Source organism: Homo sapiens, chromosome 19 (genome assembly GCF_000001405.40).
Source record: "Homo sapiens chromosome 19, GRCh38.p14 Primary Assembly".
In the NCBI taxonomy this organism is placed as follows: Eukaryota; Metazoa; Chordata; class Mammalia; order Primates; family Hominidae; genus Homo; species Homo sapiens.
Window position 1 is genome coordinate 36,033,220 of NC_000019.10, and position 21,606 is coordinate 36,054,825.

The 21,606-nt window shown below is 49.5% G+C and overlaps 1 protein-coding gene, 1 long non-coding RNA gene and 1 pseudogene across 7 annotated transcripts in view, besides 1 other annotated feature; 2 read left to right on the forward strand and 1 right to left on the reverse strand.

Moving 5' to 3' along the window:
- Positions 1–17,898, forward strand: part of LOC101927572 (uncharacterized) — a 36,616-nt gene extending 18,718 nt beyond the window's left edge. The window contains exon 4 of one of the 2 annotated variants that reach the window (NR_170988.1): positions 17,606–17,898. This is a non-coding gene — a long non-coding RNA (uncharacterized LOC101927572). Of the gene's footprint in view, positions 1–12,489; positions 13,129–17,605 lie in introns of those variants that run through there. The other variant, NR_170987.1, reaches the window with a different exon arrangement.
- THAP8 (THAP domain containing 8) lies at positions 1,765–21,543 on the reverse strand. 5 transcript variants are annotated; one of them, NM_001331103.2, is made up of 4 exons: positions 20,930–21,066; positions 6,725–6,917; positions 6,104–6,499; positions 1,765–2,373 (listed from the first exon to the last, which is right to left on the reverse strand). In NM_001331103.2, exons 2-4 carry the CDS (start codon positions 6,869–6,871, stop codon positions 2,221–2,223), a joined length of 696 nt encoding a protein of 231 aa, NP_001318032.1. In that variant the 5' UTR covers positions 6,872–6,917; positions 20,930–21,066; the 3' UTR covers positions 1,765–2,220. The 5 variants fall into 5 exon arrangements, 4 of the variants coding, with proteins under 4 accessions (NP_001318032.1, NP_001318031.1, NP_689871.1 ...); NM_001331102.2 differs by having other exon boundaries at positions 6,227–6,499; positions 20,916–21,066; NM_152658.3 differs by having other exon boundaries at positions 20,916–21,066.
- Positions 2,380–2,553: a silencer, noted in NCBI's record as "fragment chr19:36526501-36526674 (GRCh37/hg19 assembly coordinates)". NCBI's record gives its function as "represses an EF-1alpha promoter that drives an FKBP-Casp9 reporter gene in an ReSE screen in HepG2 liver carcinoma cells {active_cell/tissue: HepG2}" and the evidence as "EXISTENCE:reporter gene assay evidence [ECO:0000049][PMID:32094911]".
- RNY5P10 (RNY5 pseudogene 10) lies at positions 15,927–16,000 on the forward strand (annotated as a pseudogene).

Consider the following 21,606-nt stretch of genomic DNA (forward strand, 5'->3'; position numbering starts at 1 on the left):
CAAGCTCACCATTCATAATGGGTGCCTCAGAGGGGTGATTTCCTAGAGACTCCTATCATGATCATCTCATCCTTACCATCATAATGCGAGGCTCACACACTGGGGCCCAGAGGTTAAGCAGCTTGCCCAAAAGTACATGAGTAGGTGATGGAGCGAACATTTGAAACCAGACAGTCTGTAAAGTCTGATTTTTATTTTTATTATTTCCTAGACAGGGTCTCACTCTGTCACCCAGGCTACTGTGCAGTGTTGTGATCTTGGCTCACTGCAGCGTCAAACTTCTGGGCTCAAGCCATCCTCCCACCTCAACCTCCCGAGTAGCCGAGACCACACGTGCATGCCACCATGTCTGGAGAATTTTTTTTGAGACAGGGTTTTGCCATGTTGCCCAGGCTGGTCTTGAACTCCTGACCTCAAGGGATCCTCCTGCCCCTGCCACCCAAAGCGCTGAGATTACAGGCACGAGTCACCATGCCCAGCTTTGATTCTTAATCACCATGCTACATGCCTGTAGCAGTGTCTGGGAAACAGATCTGCCGATTGACCCCTCCAACTCTCTCAGAACCTGTATCTTCCCCACGGAGGCCTCCTGAAGCCAGCCCAGGGTCCTGGCTCCATTGTCATGGCTTGGCTTCCCACCTGGAGCTGTAGCCTGCTCTGCCTCAAATCATCCCAGCCTGGATGGGGCTGGGTGACAGCCTTGAACACCTCATCCTTCTAATGCACAGGTCCAGTAGCTCCATCTCCAAAAGATTTCCAGGATCTCACTCTCCCCACCGCTACCCTGGGCCCTCATCTTGGTCCATCCTTCTTCTTCTGCCACCAGCACTACGGCAGCAGCCTCTTACCTGCTGTCCCCGTCCTCCTCCAACATGCAGCCACAGGGACCCATGAACACCTGTCACTTTGGAGCCCTCTTTCCCTCAGAGGGGTCTGCCTGCTGCACCTCACTCCAGGTAGAAGCCAAGGCTCTCAGCCATGGCCCACAAGGGCCTATGTGAACCTGCCCCATCATCTCTGCACTCACCTCCTCTCACCCTCTTTTGTTCACTCCACCCCAGCCACACTGGCCTCCTTGCTTCTCCCTACCCCAGGACCTTTGCACTGGCTCTTTTTTTTTTTTTTTTTTGAGATGGCAGTCTCACTGTTCCCCAGGCTGGAGTGGAGTGGCATGATCTCTGCTCACTGCAACCTCTGTCTTCCAGGTTCAAGTGATTCTCCTGCCTCAGCCTCCCGAGTAGCTGGGATTACAGGCCTGTGCCACCACACCCAGCTAATTTTTGTATTTTTAGTAGGGACGGGGTTTCGCCATGTTGGCCAGGCTGGTCTCAAACTCCTGACCTTAGGTTATCTGCCTGCCTCAGCTTCCCAAAGTGCTGGGACGACAGGCGTGAGCCACCGTGCCTGGCCTGCAACGGCTCTTTGTGATGCCCGGAATGCTCTTCCTCCAAATCCCTACGTGGCTCCCTCTCTGCCCTGTTTTAGGATCTTACTTGTTGGTGTCTTTTCACCTTCTCTGCTCTAAAACTGCACCCCTTCCTCCCTTCCCTACTATGGTTTTCTCCATAGCAACACCGCCTCCCAGACCTGACACATCCCAGACAGCAGGCCCTCACTGCAGGGGTTGTTCGTCCTCTGGAACCTGAGCCTGTAGCGCTCCAGGCCAGCCCCTTCTGATCACCCAGGTTTCTGCTAAAACATGGCCTTGGAGGGCCCTCCCCCAGGCCCAAACCAAATTTTTGTTGTCTTTATAGCACTCATCGCTCATGTCTGCAGTGTTCTTGTTTATTTGTTTACTAGTTCATCGTCTACTCAAGTAGAATGAGCACCATGAGGGCAGGGATTTTCTCAGCTGTGTCCACCATGGTATCATGAACTCAGTACCAGGCTTGGCAAAAAGCGTGGGACTCCTTAGAACCAGGTATGATTCTCCCAAACAACCCTTGCTCTGCTCTGAGGCTGTCGTACTGATTTGCAAAGATCTGAGCCGGGGGTGGCAGAAGCCTGGTACCCAGGGGATTGGGGGCTGATGAGAGACTTGGGCCCAGGTCACCCCTAAGGTTCAAGAGATCCCTAGGAGTGGGGTGGTAGAACCCAGGCCCTTGAGGGAGGCACTGCTACTACCCAGGCGTGGGCGGTGGGGCTGGGCCAAGCCCACGTATAATGTCTTTCCTCCTCCATCTTCTATCTTTTGTCCCTCGACATTGTCTGTCTTGATCCTTATGCACTGGGGATCCGAGTGTCCAGGAGCTCCGGCTTGGCATCCACTGTGGCAGGTGCAGGGTCCTGGGCAAGGACCATGGCTATGTCAGGCCCTCCACAGATGATGGTGAAGGTTTGGGATTCCTCAGGTCCAAGGGTCTGGGCTGTTGTCTAAGGCAAAGAAGTGGTAGAGATGGGGAACATTACGAAGCAAGTTGCGGGAGAGACAGACAGATAACGGTGAGGAACAGGGAGGCAAAGGTGGCAGGAGGGCGTGTCAGGAAACAGAGAGAGATGTGGGGAGAGATATGAGGAGACAGGAAAGCAGATGTGAGGGCCAGAGAGACATTCATGGGAAAGGAAAGAAGGGTGGGGAAATGGGAAGAGAAGTGCGGGGGCACAGACGCAGACACGTGGGGGAAAGAGATGTGCAGGCAGACAGACGTACAGACAGGGTCAGAGATATGGGGGAGACAGAAAATATGCAGATAAAGAGAGACACAGGGAGGTGGGGAAACAGGTGGCGGACAGAGATGATGGGCAGAAAGACAATGAATGTTGGGGAGGGAGGAGATTGGGAGGTAGGGATAGATGAGTAGGAGACAGAGATTGAATGACAGGAGGGGAGGCAGAGAGAGGCAGTCAGCTCAGGGGATCTGGCAGGCTCCACAAAGAGCCCCAGGCCCGAGTCTGAGCTCTGTCCCTGCCCCACTGTCCCTCTGTGCCCCAGGCCACAGTCTCAAACTTCAAGGCCCCAGAGGCAGCCACACTGTAGCTCCAGCCAACTGCTATCACCTGAGAATCCAAGCCCAGTGCTGCTAGATATGCAGAGCCTTCAGGAAAGACCAGACTTTTTTTTTTTTTTTTTTTTTGAGACAGAGTCTCACAGTGTCACCCAGGCTGGAGTGCAGTAGCACAATCACAGTTCATTAAAGCCTTGACCTTCTGGACTCAAGCAATACTCCCACTTCAGCCTCTCAAATAGCTAGAACTATAGGTGCAACACTTGGCTAATTTTTTGTGTTTCTTGTAGAGACAGGGTTTCACCATGTTGCCCAGTCTGGTCTCAAACTCCTGGGCTCAAGTCATCTACCTGCTTCAGCCTCCCAAAGTGCTGGGATTACAGGTGTGAGCCACTGCACTCGGCCATTATAAATTATTTTAAAGCACTGCGGAGGCCAAACAAATTGTATCTGTGGGTCATGTCCAAACCACTGACTATCAATCTGAGACTCCTGGCTGGGCATGGTGGCTCATACCTGTAATCCCAGCACTATAGGAGGCCGAGGTGGGCTGATTACCTGAGGTCAGGAGCTCAAGACCAGCCTGGCCAACATGGCAAAACCCCGTCTCTACTACAAACACAAAACTTAGCTGGGCATGGTGGCACGTGCCTGTAATCCCAGCTACTTGGGAGGCTGAGACAGGAGAATCGCTTGAACCAGAGAGGCAGAGGTTGCAGTGAGCTGAGATCGCACCACTCCACTCCAGCCTGGGCAACAGAGCAAGACTCCTTCTCAAAAAAAAAAAAAAAAAAAATCGGATACTCCTTAACTCCAGAGGTACTGTGGGGGCTCCTTCCTGAGCCCCTTCAGTGAGTCTAGCATTCAGAGCTCTGTGTGGGCATCTCTCTCATACAAGCAGGGCTCTGAAAGCCATGGGGGCTAAGCTGGGCACCTCAAGCTTGGCCCTAGGGTTTTAAGACAGGAGAAATTTCGCCTTGGTCAAACTGTGATTTTCAGAGACATAACACCATTCCTCATCTTCCTCCCCCGCCACCCCACACACAGAGACATAACACCCTTCCTCAACTTCCTCCCCTACACACACACACACACACACACACACACACACACACCTTCCTCAGCTTCCTCCCCTACACACACACACACACACAAACACCTTCCTCAAATTCCTCCCCTACACACACACACACACACACACACACACACACACACACCCAGCAGTAAAATATAGAGGCAAAAGGGATTCAGATAGGGCCTGGGGGACACTATTACAGAGATTGCAAACTCCAGCTCTATAGGGGCCAGGCAGGAAGCTCTCACAGGCCTCTTCTGCAGCCAGACACCTGGGTTTGAATCCTGGCCCTGAAACATGTTGGCTGCCTGACTGTGGGCACACTACTGGACTGCTCTGTGCCTCCATTTTTTCATCTGGAAGATAGAGACAACAGCAGTATTAAGATTATAATGAGGTTTTTTTTGTTTGTTTTTTGAGATGGAGTGTTGCTCTTGTCGCCTACGCTGGAGTGCAATGGCACAATCTCGGCTCACTGCAACCTCTGCTTCCCAGGTTCAAGCAATTTTCCTCCCTCAGCCTCCCGAGTAGCTGGGATTACAGACGTGTGCCACCACGTCCGGCTACTTTTTGTATGTTTAGTAGAGATGGAGTTTCACCATGTTGGCCAGGCTGGTCTCGAACTCCTGACCTCGTGATCTGCCCACCTCAGCCTCCCAAAGTGCTGAGGTTATAGGCATGAGCCACCACACCCGGCCTTTTTTTGTTTTTGTTTTTGTTTTTGAGATGGCGTCTCGCTCTGTTGCCCAGGCTTGAGTGCAGTGGTGCCATCTCGGCTTACTGCAACCTCCACCTCCAGGGTTCAAGCAATTCTCACACCTTAGCCTCCCAAGTAGCTGGGATTACAGGTGCGCCACCATGCCCAACTAATTTTTGTATTTTTAGTAGAGACAGGGTTTCTCTATGTTACCCAGGCTGGTTTCAAACTCCCGAACTCAAGCAATCTGCCTGCCTTGGTCTCCCAAAGTGCTGGGATTACGGGCATGAGCCACCGCACACAGACCATAGTGAGTTTTTTGTTTGGTTGTGGTTTTTGGTTTTTTTTGAGACCTTGCTTGGTCACCCGGGCTAGAGTGCAGTGGTGCGATCTTGGCTCACTGCAGTCTCTGCTTCCTGGGCTCAAGGGATCTTCCTGCCTCAGGCTCCCAAGTAGCTGGGACCACATGTGCCCACCACAATGCTAATTTTTGTGTTTTAGTGAGACAGTCTTACCATGTTGTCCAGGCTGGTCTTGAACTCCTAGGTTCAAGCGATCTGCCCACCTTGGCCTCCCAAAGTGCTAGGATTACAGATGTGAGCCACTGCATTTTTTAAAAATTAACCTTGTAGCAGTCAGGCATGGTGGCTCACTCCTGTAATACCAGCATTTTGGGACGCCAAGGCAGGTGGATCACGAGGTGAGGAGATCGAGACCATCCTGGCTAACACGGTGAAACCCTGTCTGTACTAAAAATACAAAAAATTAGCTGAGCGTGGTGGCGGGCACCTGTAGTCCCAGCTACTTGGGAGGCTGAGGCAGGACAATCGCTTGAACCTGGGAGGCAGAGGCTGCAGTGAGCCGAGATTGCACTACTGCACTCCAGCCTGGGCAACAGAGCGAGACTCCGTCTCAAAAAAAAAAAAAAAAATTAACCCTGTAGCTCCAGCTCAAAGGGTCATAGTGAGTTTTCAGCTCACTATGTTATAACTCTGTGTCTGGCAGACAATAAGAGCTTCTCAAATATTAAGTATTTAGTATTAGTAAATGGAGCAATCATTACTCAGCTCCAACCAATAGTTGCTTGGCATTGCCAGATTTTGTTTTTCAGGAAAACCTAGAAATTTGTTTTAATTTTCTGTAGAGACAGTGCTTGCTATGTTGCCCAGGCTGGTCTCGAACTCCTGGCCTCCAGCAATCCTCCTGCCTTGGCCTCCCAAAGTGTTGGGATTACAGGCGTGAGCCACTGAGCCCGGGAAAGCCAGAAATTTGGAAACACGGCTGAATGTTCTGATTTTTGAATAGGGGATCCTAGACAAAATGAAAACACACTGCAGGCCAGGCCACCACCCATGGATGGGGCTGCCAGGCTGGGGTGCCACTCACCAGGCGCTGCAGACCCCGGCGTGCCCGTGCCAGCAGGCTCTCCCCGTGTAGCTGCTGTGCCAGCCGTTCCAGGGCCTGCAGCTGCGCCTGGTGCCGCTCCTGGCACCGTTGCAGCCTCCGCACCCGGCGTTGCAGTGCTCCCAGCACTGGGCCCAGCCCGGTCTGGGCCTGTTGGGCAGGGACTTCAGGTTGTGACCGCTCAGGAGTTGGCGCAGGGGCCAGGGGGGTCAGGAGCATGGTGGCCACAGTCTTGGGGCTCCCCGATGTGGGGCCCAGCACCACTAGGCGCACTGGGCCAGAGACTGGGATGGCAGGGCTCTGGGGCAGGGGTGTATTCTTCTGTAGGGGAGGCGGCGGCGAGACTGGCTTCTGGGTGCTTCGGGTCCTCCGCTGACTCTGGAAGACAAGGCATGGGGTGCAGGGGTGCCGTGGTCAGACTTCGACTCAGGAGGAAAGGGATGGAGGGTCTGTTTCCAAGGGGGACTTGCCTAGGTAAGGCCAGACCTCAGGGAGGAAGTGTCGTCAGGAGGGGAGGGCCAAAGTTCAGACTCAAGGAGGGACTTCCCTTAGGCAGGGAGGTCTGGGGGTTGGATTCCAGCAGCAGGACCTCCCAGCGCTCACCTTGGCAGGTGGTCCCCGGGAGAAGATGGAGGGCACTGCATCAGGCCGCAGGTAGCGCACACCCCAGCGCCACTGGAAGCAGGAGGGTGTGAAGTGCTCGCTGCACAAGTGCTGGTGGCAGCTGGGCACCCAGTGCTCACAGCCCATGTGCTGCAGCCAGGCCTGCAGCCGGGGACCATCCTTCAGTGGGAACCTGCATGGGTGGTTGGGGGGCTGGGTCAGTGCTACGAGGTTCAGACTTATCCCTCCCAGAGGATACCCACCCTGGAGGTCTCTGGGCTCCAAGCCTGTGCCTCCCTAGGGCTAGGAAGTAGACCTGTCTTGTGCCCAGGCTTTCTCTATCTCATACACACAACCACAACCCTTTTTTCAGCTTCATCTTTTAGTAGTAGTATTTTGTGAGACGGGGTTTCGCACTTGTCACCCAGGCTGGAGTGCAATGGCGCGATCTTGGCTCACTACAACCTCCGCCTCCTGGGTTCAAACGATTCTTCTGCTTCAGCCTCCTGAGTAGCTGGGACTACAGGCGCACGCCACCACGCCCGGCTAATTTTTGTATTTTTAGTAGAGACGAGGTTGCACCATGTTGGCCAGGCTGGTCTTGAACTCCTGACCTCAGGTGATCCACCCACCTTGGCCTCCCAAAGTGCTAGGATTATAGGCATGAGCCACCAAGCCTGGCATTTCTTCTTATTATTATTAATTTGAAAGCTCCACCTTTTAAACACCCAGCATCAGCCCACCTCTGCCCCCTCCACTGCCCCTCCTTCCAGCCTCCTTCCTGGTCTTCCTGCCCACAGTCCCGCCCCTCCACTCCCAATTTGTTCTTCCACATCAACTTGTTGGAGCAGTTTATAAAATCAGACAGTTACGATGTGGGAGATCGTGCAGCCAAGCGAAAACGTTTCTTCCACACCATATAAATGGGGGTGTGGGGTTTCTGGATTAAGAGAGATTTAAGAAACATCAGCACAAACGCAGGATGTGGACCTTGCCTACAACAAACAATTCAGTAAAAAGACATTTTAAGACAATTGGGGAAAACTGAACATGAACTGGTTATAAGATAATTGTAAGAAACTGGTCAGGCATGGCGGTTCATGCCTGTAATCCTAGCACTTTGGGAAGACGACAAGGTGGGAGGATCGCTTGAGCCCAGGAGTTCGAGACCAGCCTGGGCAACATAGGGAGACCTCGACTCTACAAAAAAAAAAAAAAATTAGCCATGTATGGTGGTACATGCCTGTAGTCCCAGCTACTCGGGAGGCTGAAGTGGGAGGGTCACCTGAGCCTGGGAGGCAGAGGTTGCAGTGAGCCGAGATTGCGCAACTGTACTCCAGCCTGGGTGACAGAGCCAGACCCTGTCTTTAAAAAAAAAAAAAAAAAATTCATTTTGCTAGGTGTGATAACTGTATTGGTTTATACTTCTGAAACAGTCTTCTGTTAGAAATCAGTCTGAAATAATTACGGATAAAAGATCTGATGTCTGGGATTTACTTTAAAATAGTGCAGGACAAAAACTTAGAGGTGTGGGCAGGGCAGGGAAGAAGATTGGCAAAGTGTTGATAACTAGTGACACAGTGATGGATACTGAGGGCTCTACTTTTTGTGTATGCTTGAAAACACCCACTAACAAGTCTTTAAACAACTCAACAACAATAAAACACAAATAACCTGATTCAAAAATGGGCAAAGGACTTGAACAAACATTTCTCCAAAGACATACAAATGGCCAATAAGCACATGAAAAGATACTTGACATCTCCAATCATTAGGAAAACGCAGTATCAGAACCCTGATGAAATATCATCTGACAAACACCAGAACAGCTACTATTGAACAACAACAAAAAAGAGGCCGGGCATGGTGGCTTGTGTCTGTAATCCCAGCACTTTGGGAGGCTGAGGCAGGAGGATCTCCTGAAGGCAGTAGTCCAAGACCATCCTGGGCAATGTAGCAAGACCTTGTCTCTACGAAAAAATATTTTTTAAATTAGCTGGGTGTGGCAATGTGCATCTATAGTTCTATCTACTTAGGAGGCAATGTGGGAGGATTGCTTAAGCTCAGGAATTTGAACGCTGCAGTGAGCTATGATCACACTACTGCATTCCAGCCTGGGTGATGGAGGAGGAGGGGAAGGGGAAGGGGGAGGGAGTAAGAGGGGGAGGAAGAGGAAGAGAAGAACAGTGTGTGTGAGGATGTGGAAAAACTGCTGGAACTCTGGTACACTGCTGGGAATGTAAAACGGTGCTGCCACTGTGGAAAACAATATGGCAGTTCCTCAAACACTGAAAAATAGAATTACCATATGACCCAGCAATCCACTTCTGCTTACATACCCAAAAGAACACAAAACAGGGTCTTGGAGAGATATTTGCACACCTGCGTTCGTAGCAACATAAATCAGGCCTGGCGTGGTGGCTCATGCCTGTAATCCCAGCACTTTGGGAGGCTGAGGTGGGTGGGTCACTTGAGCCCAGGTGTTCAAGACCAACCTGAGCAACAGGTGAAATCTTGTCTCTACAAAAAATAGAAAAATTAGCCAGATATGGTGGCATGTGCCTAGAGGCACAGCTACTCAGGAGGCTGAGGTGGGAGGACTGCTTGAGCCCAGGAGGTTAAGGCTACAGTGAGCCATGATCACATTACTGCACTCTAGCCTGGGCAAAAGAGCGACATGCTGTCTCAAAAACAAACAAACAGACAACAGAAACATAGCAGCATAAATCACAACAGCCAAAAGGTGGAAGTGTCTATCAACAGATACATGGATAAGAAAAATGCTGCATATACATACAATGGAATTTTATTTTATTTAGTCTTTTTTTTGGGGGGAGGGAGGAGATGCAGTCTCACTCTGTCACCCAGGCTGGAGTGCCATGGCGCAATCTCGGCACACTGCAATCTCTGCCTCCTGGGTTCAAGTGATTCTCCTGCCTCAGCCTCCTGGGTAGCTGGGATTACAGGCTCCCGCCACCATGCCCGGCTTATTTATTTATTTTTGCGATGGAGTCTCACTCTGTTGCCCAGGATGGAATGCAGTGGTGTGATCTCGGCTCACTGCAACCTCCGCCCCCTGGGTTCAAGCGACTCTCCCGCCTCAGCTTCCCAAGTAGCTGGGATTACAGGTGCCTGCCACTGCACCTGGCTATTTTTGTATTTTTAGTAGAGATGGGGTTTCACCATGTTGGCCAGGCTGGTGTCAAACTCCTGACCTCAGGTGATCCACCCACCTCGGCCTCCCAAAGTGCTGGGATTACAGGTGTGAGCCACTGCATCTGGCCTGGAATTTTATTTAGTCTTGATCTGACACATGCAACAACACAGATGAACTCTGAGGGCCATTAGGGTAAGTGAAATAAGCCAGTCAAATACTGACGATTTCACTTATATGAGGTAGAACAGTCAAATTCCTAGAGACAGACAGTGGAATGGTGGTTGCCAAGAGCCTGGGGGAGAGGGAAAGAGGGAATTGTCCAATGGGGATAGAGTGTTTTAGGAGAGGAAAAAGTTCTGGAGATTGGTTATACAACACTTAACATTAGTGAATTGTACACTTAATGATCAAAATTGTACACTTAAAAATGATCAAAATGGTAGATTTTATGTGTATTTTGCCACAGGTAAAAATAATTTTAATAGGCCAGGCACGGTGGCTCACGCCTGTAATCCCAGCACTTTGGGAGGCCGAGGTGGGCGGATCACTTGCAGTCAGACCTCAAGTGATTTTGAATTCAAGTTCAAGACCAGCCTGGCCAACATGGTGAAACCCCGTCTCTACGAAAATTACAAAAATTAGCCAGGCCTGGTGGCGTGTCCCTGTAATCCCAGCTACTCGGGAGGCTGAGGCAGAAGAATTACTTGAACCTGGGAGGTGGAAGTTGCAGTGAGTCGAGATCACGCCACTGCACTACAACCTGGGCGACAGAGCAAGACTCCATCTCAAAAAAAAATTTTTTTTGTTTTAAGTTTTAAAAAATAAAAGCTTTCTCAGTGGTTGTGGGTGAGGATTATCTGATGAGGGACCCTCTAAATGTGCCCCACTTCTCCGGTTTCCGGGTGCCACTTATTCCCAGCATCTGCTCTTACCCTCTTAGATGGTAATCCACTCTCTATTTAGACCTGGGCTCAAGGCTACCCATAATAAAGACCTCCTTTTCCAGCCTTATTTGCAGCCAGGGGTGGCCACATGATCAAATGCTGGCCAGTTTGTCCTTAGCAGCTGCCAGAAACTGAGACTGTAAATGTTTATTTCAAGCTGCTAAATTTGGGGATAGTTTGTTATATAGCATTAGATAACTAAGACACATCTCATGCATATCCCATCTTCACAATGTTTTCCATATCTGTGATATTACTTATTTCATATTTTTCTTAAAACTAACCAATTTTAACTATTAAACAAAGATACTTAAAAGAGAAACTTTACATCACAATTGAAAATGGAAAATCAGTATCAATTCCATAAACAAAAGCTAACCATAAAAACATCAGATGCCATTACCTACTGAGGGTTATGAGCCTGAGGCCTGCTCTCTTTCTTTTCTTTTCTTTCTTTTTTTTTGAGACACGGTCTCATTCTGTTGCCCAGGCTAAAGTGCAGAGGCACGATCATGGCTCACTGTAGCCCTGAACTGCTAGGCCCAAGTGATCCTCCCACCTCAGCCTCCCGAGTACCTGGGACCACAGGCATGTGCCACCACACCTGGCTAATTTAAAATTTCTTTTTGTAGAGACAGAGGTCTCACTATGTTGTCCAGACTGGTCTTGAACTCCTGGGCTGAAGTGATCTCCCACGTTGGCCTCCCAAAGTGCTGCGATTATAGGCATGAGGCACCACACCCCACCCCTGCTCTCTCTTTGTTGAAAAGATAGACTAGTGAGTGCTAGAGAATTAGGGACAAAATTCCTACAGGAGAGAGGGTAAACATAGGCACATCCACACAAAAGAATACGATGCAGCTATAAAACAGAATGTAGAGGTACTCTGTGAACTGACATGCTATTGTCAGGCACACATTATGTGAAAAAAAGCAAGGTTCTAAATAGACTATCTCAGCTTTTAGTCATTGTGGTAGCCCCCAAAAGCTATCCATGTCCTAATTCCTGGAAACTGTGACTATTACTTTATTTATTTATTTATTTATTTAATTTATTTTTTTGAGATGGAGTCTCGCTCTGTCACCCAGGCTGGAGTGCAGCGGCGCAATCTCGGCTCACTGCAAGCTCCGCCTGCCAGGTTCACACCATTCTCCTGCCTCAGCCTCCCGAGTAGCTGGGACTACAGGCGCCCGCCACCACGTCCGGCTAATTTTTTTGTATATTTATTTATTTATTTATTTAGAGACAGGGTTTTGCTCTGTCACCCAGGTTGGAGTGCTGTGGTGTGATCTCGGCTCCCTGCAGCATCAAACTCCCCAAGCTCAGGCAATCCTCCCACGTCAGCCTCCCAAGTAGCTGGGACTACAGGCATGTGCCACATGCCCAGCTAATTTTTATATTTCTTGTAGAGATGGGGTTTTGCCTTGTTGCCCAGGCTGGTCTCAAACTCCTGGGCTCAAGCAATCCTCCCACCTCGGCCTCCCAATGTGCTGAAATTACAGGCGTGAACCACTGTGCCAGGCCTGAATATTACCTTATATGACAAAAGATGTGATTAAGTTAAGGATCTTGAGATGGGGAGATTATCCTGGGTCATCCGGGTTGGCCCTAAATGCCACTACAAGTATCCTTTTAATAAGAGGGAGGAGAATATATTACCACAGAAAAGAAGAGAGGGCAATGCAACCATGGAGGCAGAGACTGGAGAGATGTGGCCACAAGCCAAGCACTGCCTGCAGCCACCAGGAACCGGAACAGGCAAAGAAGAGATTCTCCCCCAGAACCTCCAGAGGAGTACAGCCCTGCCGACACCTTGGTTTTGGCCCAGGAAAGCCGATTTGGACTCCTGGCCTCTAGAACTGTTAGAAAATAATTTGTCTTGTTTTAAGCCACCAAGTTTGTTAGAGCAGCATGGGAAACTAATAGTGTAATAAAGGGAGAAATAAGAATGTCTTTCACATTTGCTGGTATTTATATAAAGAAACTATGGTAATGTGGTTTGGCTCTGTGTCCCCACCCAAATCTCATCTTGAACTGTAATCCCCATGTGTCAAGGGAGGGACATGATGGGAGGTGACTGGATCATGGGGGATGTTTCCCCCATGCTGTTCCCATGATAGTGAGTGAGTTCTCATGAGATCTGATGGTTTAAAAGTGGCAGTTCCCCTCTTGCTCTCTCTCTCTCCTGCCCCCATGTAAGATGTTTGCTTTCCCTTCGCCTTGCACCATGATTGTAAGTTTCCTGAGGCCTCCCCAGCCATTCAGAATTGTAAGTCCATTAAACCTCTTTCCTTTATGAATTACTCAGTCTCAGGTAGTTGTTTATAGTAGTGTGAGAACAGACTAAGACACATAGGAAGGACACACAAGAAACTAAAGAGGCTACCAGTGGGGAGGAGGTGGATGGGATGAACGGAGATGGGGAGAGCCAAGACTTCTCAGACAAAGGAAGATGGAGGTGGAGGGGGCAGGTAGCTGGTGAAAGAGCACAGAAAGGCTGACTCAGAGAACAGCAGTGGCACCCAGAGAGCAGAACCCCAGGGCACACAGCCAGGGAGTCTGGCTGCTGCAGTCAGCCTCCCTCTAAGATCCCAATGTTCTCAGCAGCCCCATTCTTCCGGGACACAAACACAAGATCTATTGCAACAGCATTCCCCATTCTTATTGCCACCATCTCCCAGGCAGAATCTGCCAATGGACTACTCGTATCTACTCTCTGCCTTTTCCTTACTAACAGAACTCCAACTTTCTTTGAGGCCACAATGTGTCCTGCTAAAAGACTATGTTTCCCAGGATCCTTTGCAGCTGGCTGGGGCGTGTGACTACCTTCTGGCCAAGGAATGCTTTAGTGTTGTGTGGGATCTCTGGGATGGTGCCTTAAATGGAAGGGACGATCAACAGGATTCAGCAGCTCAAAGAGCAAAGGAAAAAAGTCAATATCCTAAGAAAGGTCTCCTTAATTGGTCTTACTCTCTCTTGTTCCTCTGGATAGCAGCATTTGTAATGGGCAATGTTGCTTTCTAAAAAACTACCTTAAGCAGACAACAAGTGTTCCCCTTTGTATGCAGTCAAATGCTCTACCACTGAGCTATACCCCCATGTTCCCCTTTGTATAAACTATTTTAGTCTTGCTGGTCATCTTGTCCAGAGCATGGGGTGGCATATACTGCTAGAAGTCCTTTTTTTCTTTCTTACTAATGTAACTCAAAATTTCTTCAGGCTGATTAAATGCCCAGTTTTTAAAGACCACAATTCCCAGCCTCTTTTCCAGTTGGGGTGACCAATGATGAAAAGGTGCCATTGAACGGGGTTTCTGGGAAGGCCTTATAAAGGGAGATGATTCAGTTTAGACCTGAACGCTTTTTGCTCTTCCTCCCTTCCCTTTTCCTCCTATAAGGAATGGTGGCAGTGGTGGCTGGGGCACTGGCAGCCACCTTGGATGGAAGCCACAGGCCAAGGATGGAAGCCACAGGCTAAGGATGACAGAGCAGAAAGAGGCCGGGCATGGTGGCTCACACCTGTAATCCCAGCACTTTGGTGGCCAAGGTGGGAGGATCATTTAAGGCCAGGTGTTTGAGACTAGCCTGGCCAACATGGCAAAACCCTGTCTCTACTAAAAATACAAAAATTAGCTGGGTATGGTGACATGCGCCTGTAATTCTATAATTCCAGCTACTTGGGTGGCTGAGGCATGAGAATCCCTAGAACCCAGGAGGTGGAAGTTGCAGTGAGCTGAGACTGTGCCACTGCATTCCAGCTTGGGTGACAGAATGAGACTTTCAAAAAAAAAAAAAAAGAAAGAAAAATAGTGATAGGACCCCTCATTTCTCATGACTGTGGAGCTACTATCCCAGTGCTGGTTTGCCAACCTCTGTACTTTCTGTATATGAGGGAAAATAAACCCTGTAATAGAATGTCTGCTGTCTCTCTCCACATGAGGATTACACATGCCCACTCCATTGACTTGAGGCTTGCTATATACTTGCTCCAGCCAAAAGAATGCCAGTGAAAGTGACACAGGCCACTTCTAAATATGAAATTGACCAAGAGCCACTGGGTGATTCACTCCACTTTCTTTTTTCCTCCTCCTGCAAGACCAGCAATACTCCAAATAGGGATAGTTTATTCAGCCTGAGACCCCAATTAAGATACTGTAGAGTAGGACCACAAATGACCTGCAAAGGACATAGTGTGAGCAAGAAATACACCTTTGGGCCACGTGTGGTGATTCATGCCTGTAATCCCAGCACTTTGGGAGGCTAAAGCAGGAGGACTGATTGAGCCCAGGAGTTCCAGCCTGGGCAACATAGTGGGACTTCATTTCTTTTTTTTTTTTTTTAGACGAAGTTTCACCCTTGTTGCCTAGGCTGGAGTGCAGTGGCGCGATCTTGGCTGACTGCAACCTCCGCCTCCCAGGTTCAAGCGATTCTCCCATCTCAGCCTCCTGAGTAGCTGGGATTACAGGCGTGTGCCACCACGCCTGGCAATTTTTGTATTTTTAGTAGAAATGGGGCTTCACCATGTTGGCCAGGCTGGTCTCAAACTCCTGACCTCAGGTGATCCACTTGCCTCAACCTTCCAAAGTGCTGGGATTACAGGTGTGAGCCACCGCGCCCAGCCCAATGGGACTTCATTTCTACAAAAATTAGAAAAATTTGCCTGACAAGGTGGTGTCTGCCTATAGTCGCAGCTACTCAGGAGGTTGAGGCGGGAGGACTGCTTGAGCCCAGGAGTTTGAGGCTGCAGTGAACCATGATGGTGCTGCACTCTAGCCCAGGTGATAAAGACCCCTTCTTTAAAAAAAAAAAAAAACAAAAAAACAAAAAACACCTTTGTTGTAGTAAGCCACTGAGATTTGAGAAGTTTGTTTGTGCAGCATAACTTAACCACACTGATTCCTATAGACCCCATAATTTGTTTAAGCAACTCTTATTGCAGGACTTTGTTACTACCAAGCAGATACAATTCTAAGTGATAGGTCCCCCATAAGAGATGACCCCATTGCCACTGTCCCTGAAAGGGCCTAAGACAGAGCTAATGAAAGCTAGCCAGGCATGGTGGCACATGCCTGTAGTCCCAGCTACTCAGGAGGCTGAGATGGAGCTGGTCCGAGTGTTGTGGGTTATTGTTAAGCTGATTTAACATTGTCTCCCCACACAACCATGCTTGACTAGCATAAAAATAAAAAAGAAAAATGAAAAAAACAAAAAAAAAGGAGGCTGAGATGGGAGGACTGCTTGAGCCTGGGAGGCTGAAGCTGCATTGAGCCATGATCGCACCACAGTACTCCAGCCTGGGTGACAAAGCAAGATCATGTTTCAAAAAAAAAAAAGAGAGAGTGAACTAATGAGTGTTCCCATTGGCTGCCAAGCAGGATTTCAAGTTATTTCCTGGCAGCCACTTCCCTCAATGTGTCTCATCTTATCTCTCACCTGGCATCCATGCCCTCTCCTAAGCCTCTTTTGGAAACTGCTTCTCATCTAACTCTTAACTAAGTGGCTTCTGCAAGACTGACTCAGGGGTAGGCCCTGAGGTGGAAATGGGCTAGTCACTAGCGGGTGCCAATGAAGACATGAAGTGATTTTTATACAGTCATCTGGCTGCTATATACAGTCGTCATCATTTTCCTCCTTATTATACATACAAAGCACTTAGAACAGTGCCTGGCATAAGGTAAATACTAAGTAACTATTGTTGTTGTTATGAGAGAGGTAAGAGTGGAAACGGGCCAGGCACGGTTGCTCACGCCTGTAATCCCAGTACTTTGGGAGGCCAAGGTGGGTGGATCACCTGTGGTCAGGAGTTCAAGACCCACCTGGCCAACATGGTGAAACTCCATCTCTACTAAAAATACAAAGAATTGGCTGGGTGTGGTGGTGTGCACCTGTGGTCCCAGCTACTCAGGAGGCTGAGGTAGGAGAATCACTTGAACCTGGGAGGCAGAGGTTGCAGTGAGCCGAGATCATACCACTGCACTCCAGCCTGGGCGGCAGAGCAAGACCCTGTCTCAAAAAAAAAAAAAAAAAAAAGATGATGGCAGCCTGGACTACATGATGACAGTGGATGTGATGAGAAGTAGTCTGGGAATGTGTTTTCCTTATTTCTTATTTATTTATTTTGAGACAAGGTCTCACACGGTTGCCCAGGCTAGAGTACAGTGGCACAATCACAGCTCACTGCAGCCTCGGCTCCTGGGATCCAGTGATTCTCTCACCTCACTGTCTCATGTAGCTGGAACTACAGGTGTGTACCACCACGTCCAGCTAATTTTTTACATTTTGTAGAGATGGGGTTTTGCCACGTTGCCCAGGCTGGTCTCAAATTGCTGGGCTCAAGCGATCCTCCTGCCTCGACTTCCCAAAGTGCTGGGATTACAGGTGTGAGCCACCACGCCCAGCCTATCTTTCCTTATTTGTTAATGATTTATTTAGGAATTTCTCATTTGTGTTTATAACTGTCTTGTCAAGGTGTTAGAGATTTTGTTGTGGTTGTTGCAGGATGGAGAAATGTCTTGAGGGTAGAGCCAAAGGGTGGGTTAATGGACTAGCGGTGAATGAAAAGGAAGGATCATGGGTAACTCCCAGGTCACGTACTCAGTTCCTCAATGTTTGATCCCTCACCTATCCATGAGCTCTGTCATGGCAGAAACAAGATCTGTCAGGATTCTTTGTGTCCAGCAGGGGCTTACTTGCTTCTCCAAGAAATACTCAAAAAGTTGCTGAATTAATCAATGTTGCCAGAGTCATACACAGGCTTAAAGTCCCTTTGGCCCTACACCAGGGTCCCTCAAAGGATCCGTGACACATGGACTGCTGGCTTTCCTGGAGAGCCCATCTGAAAGGCATTCACCAAATCCACCCAACGAATCTTTACTAAGAACCTACTATGTGCCAGGCAATATTCTAGAGGTTGGAGACACAAACAGGAGGAAAGAAGAAAGACAAAGAAAGACAAAACCTCTGGCTTGATTGAACTGATATTCTAGTGGGGGAGATAATGAATGAATACATCGAAAACGCAATATGCAGACAGTGATGTGTTAAAGAGAAAAATAAAGCAGGAGACAGAGAGAATCGTGTGTGTGTTTGGGTGTCAGTTACAGTTTTCCATAGGGTGGTAGTCATAAAGGCAAGAACTTTGAAATCAGAGGGAATCACACAGGCAAAGTCCCCAGGGCAGCAACATGCCTGCCACACTACAGGAACATGAAGTAGGCCAGTGTCACTGGTGTGAAGGGCAGGAGGAAAGAGATGAGGTCACACTGGTATCAGGGAACCAGCTCTGTAGGACTTTGCAGGCCTGCTTTCTACCTGTTCCAGCCTCACTTTATTTTTTATAGTGAGGTGGGAGTCACGGAAGGGATCTGGGCAGAGGAGGGCGCTGATCTGACTCAGGTGTTCACAGGCTCCCTCTGGCTGCAAGCAGGGAACAGACTGGGGGTGACGGTGGGAGCAGGGAGACCAATGAAGAGGCTGCTAAAATAGTCCAGTCTGGAGGTGATAATTGCCAGGAGCAGGATGCAGGAAGAGGAGAGGGTTAGAAGTGATCAAATTCTGGACAGTTTGTAAAGGGAGAGCCAACTGGATTTGCTGAGGGACTGGATGAGGAATGTGTCCTAGCCCACTTAGGCTAAGACCACCAGGGACAAACCTGTAGTCCAGCACTGTCAGATTTATTTACAATGGCAATGGGAGAGTCTGCACACTAGAGATACCATAGGCCAGGGGTCCCCAACTCCCAGGCTACAGACGGGTACCAGTCTATGGCCTGTTAGGAATAGGGCCACACAGCAGGAGGTGAGTGGCAGGCAGGTGAGCGAGTGAGAGAAGCTTCATCTGTATTTACAGCCACTCCCCACTGCTCGCATTACCACCTGAGTTCCGCCTCCTGTCAGAGCAGCAGCAGCATTAGATTCTCACAAGAGTGTGAATCCTATTCTGAACTGTGCATGTGAGAGATCTAGGTTGCCCTCCATTTTTTTTTTGTTTGTTTGTTTTTTGGGTTTTTTGGTTTTTTTTTTAGATGAAGTCTCACTCTGTCGCCAGGCTGGAGTGCAGTGGCGCAATCTCGGCTCACTGCAACCTCTGCCTCCTGGGTTCAAGTGATCCTCCTGCCTCAGCCTCCCAAGTAGCTGGGATTACAGGCATGTGCCACCACACCTAGCTAATTTTTGTATTTTTAGTAGAGACAAGGTTTCGCCATGTTGGCCAGGATGGTCTCGATCTCCTGACCTCGTGATCTGCCCGCCTTGGCCTCCCAAAGTGCTGGGATTACAGGCATGAGCCACTGTGCCTGGCCAGTTGCCCGCTTTTTATGAGAATCTAATGCCTGATGATCTGAAGCGTTTCATCCCAAAACCATTCCCCCAACCCTATCCCATCCGTGGAAAAACTGTCTTCCACAAAACCAGTCCCTGGTGCCATAAGGGTTGGGGACCACTGCCATAGGCCCTATGGGCCTTTGTTTTGTGAGGGAGTCTCAACAAACAGAGTTATTTTTTAGGTGAAATGTAAACTAAGCAGTGTTCAGATTGCCTCAAAGCAAATCAGAACTGTGTGTAAAGGGATCAATATCAGGTCCGGATGGTGAAGTGGGCCCAGGGTTTGTCTTCTCAGATGCAATAAAGTTTACATAGATGTAGAATATTGTGTCCTTATCTGAAGCTCCAAACCTGGATTGTAAATAGGGACTGCTTTTCTGTGTCAAAGTGACTTAGCTCCTCCAAGCAAAAGTGAGATGTTTCATTCTTACTTGATGTGATTTCAAACAGCAAAGTTTGTGATCATCTCTGACTTTAGACAACCAAAGTTTCCTACTAAGAAAGCAGTAGACACTCAAAGGATGGGAATTCTGCCACTTTACATCTGCAGTATGTCCAAGAGAAATATTTTTTCCTGGCTGGGTGCAGTGGCTCACGCCTGTAATCCAAGCACTTTGGGAGGCCGAGGCAGGAGGACTGCTTGTGCCCAGGAGTTTGAGACTAGACTGGACAACATAGGGTGATCCCATCTCTCTCTTTAAAAACAAAATTTTTTTTTTTGAGACGGAGTCTCACTCTTGTTGCCCACGCTGGATTGCAGTGGCCTCATCTTGGCTCACTGCAACCTCTGCCTTCTGGATTCATGCGATTCTCCTGCCTCAGCCCACGGAGTAGCTGGAATTACACGCATGAGCCACCACGCCCATCTAATTTTTGTATTTTTAGTAGACACGGGGTTTCACCATGTTGGCCAGGCTGGTCTCGAACTCCTGACCTCAGGTGATCTGCCCGCCTCGGCCTCCCAAAGTGCTGGGATTACAGGCGTGAGCCACCAAGCCTGGCAAAAAAAAAAAAAAAAAAAAAAAAAAAAAAAAATTTAAATTATCCAGGCATGGTGGCGCGTGCCTCTGGTCCCAGCTACTTGGTAGGGTGAGGTGGGAGGATCACTTGAGCCCGGGAGGTCGAGGTTGCAGTGAGCTGTGATCGTTCCACTGCATTCCAGCCTGGGCGACAAAGCGATCTTGTCTCAAAAAAAAAAAAAAAAAAAAGCAAAGAAATGTTTTTTCCTAGTAATTCTTCCACCAACTGGCTTATGTCAGCCAGATAAATAAGGAGACAGATCTTTTACAGTCGAAGCTAATTCTGACTTTCCCAAGTATGACGAAAGAGGTAAGGATGACATTTTTTAAACCTAAGCAACAAGAAGAATGAAGCACGCTACTAAGATAAGACAGACTGGAAGGTTTTGGGGAGACACGATCGCAAGCTCAGTTTCGGATGCTCTGAGTTTCAGATGGCTCAAATGCGTGGGGAGGGCAAGTGGGCATCTGCAGGCTCTCTAACAGCCTGCACCGACTTCACTTCTTACATCCCTTTCACTCTTCGGCTCGCTTCGCTCGCTATCTGTAGTCAATCGTCTACTCCTGTTTCCCACGCCTGCACCTTTGTATGTGCAATGGACACTGCCAGGAAGGCCATCTCCTCATGGTTTAACCCCACTTCCTAACACCCTCAAGCAAGACCAGAAGCCCCGCACAGCAGCACTAATGCTCGGGCCCCACCCCTCTCAGGGTCCCGCCTCCCTCAAGCCCCGCCCCGCGCTGCGCTCACTTGTAGAAGCTCACAGGGCGGTTGTCTGCACCCAGGCGGCCCGCAGTGTTGGAGCAGTTCGGCGCCCTGCAGTACTTGGGCATGGCTATCCAGCCCCCGCTGAGTTTTGCCGGGTCAGCGGCTGCACTTTGGTTCTCGCGGAGCGCCGCCTAACCCCGCCCCACCCGCGCTCGCCGCCTGCCTCACGTGACGTCCGTGGAGTCTCGTCACGTACCGGGGAGAGAGCTGAGAGCGCCTGCCTACTAGGCGCCCCTCCACAGTGCCACAGTCCCGCCCTCGTCACGTGACGAATGGGCCATAGCGAGTACTGTGCACCTGCGCAAAGCCGGCCCTTCGTCACCCCGACTTTCATCACGTGTTGGGGGGAAGGGCGGCGTCACGGCGTTTCTGAGCCTGCGCCAACCAAATCAACTGGCTAGTCAATCTCTTACGGCTCCACCCTACGCCTACATCCGGGCAACCGTTGGGGCGCACATAGTTCCTCTAGGTGGCGGCAAAAACCGAGGTGAGGCGGCCGTGGCCTTAGCCTCGTAAAAATTAAAACCTGTATGTTTCAGCGAATAATGAAAACGCAGTCTGGATGAAAGACCCCATGACGCTTAATCAGGCATCCAGTACACTGGCTGTGGCCCCGCCCCGCCAGGCACTCGCTCCGCCTCTTCGCCCCCATTGGTTCTAAGCGCCGCCCGGC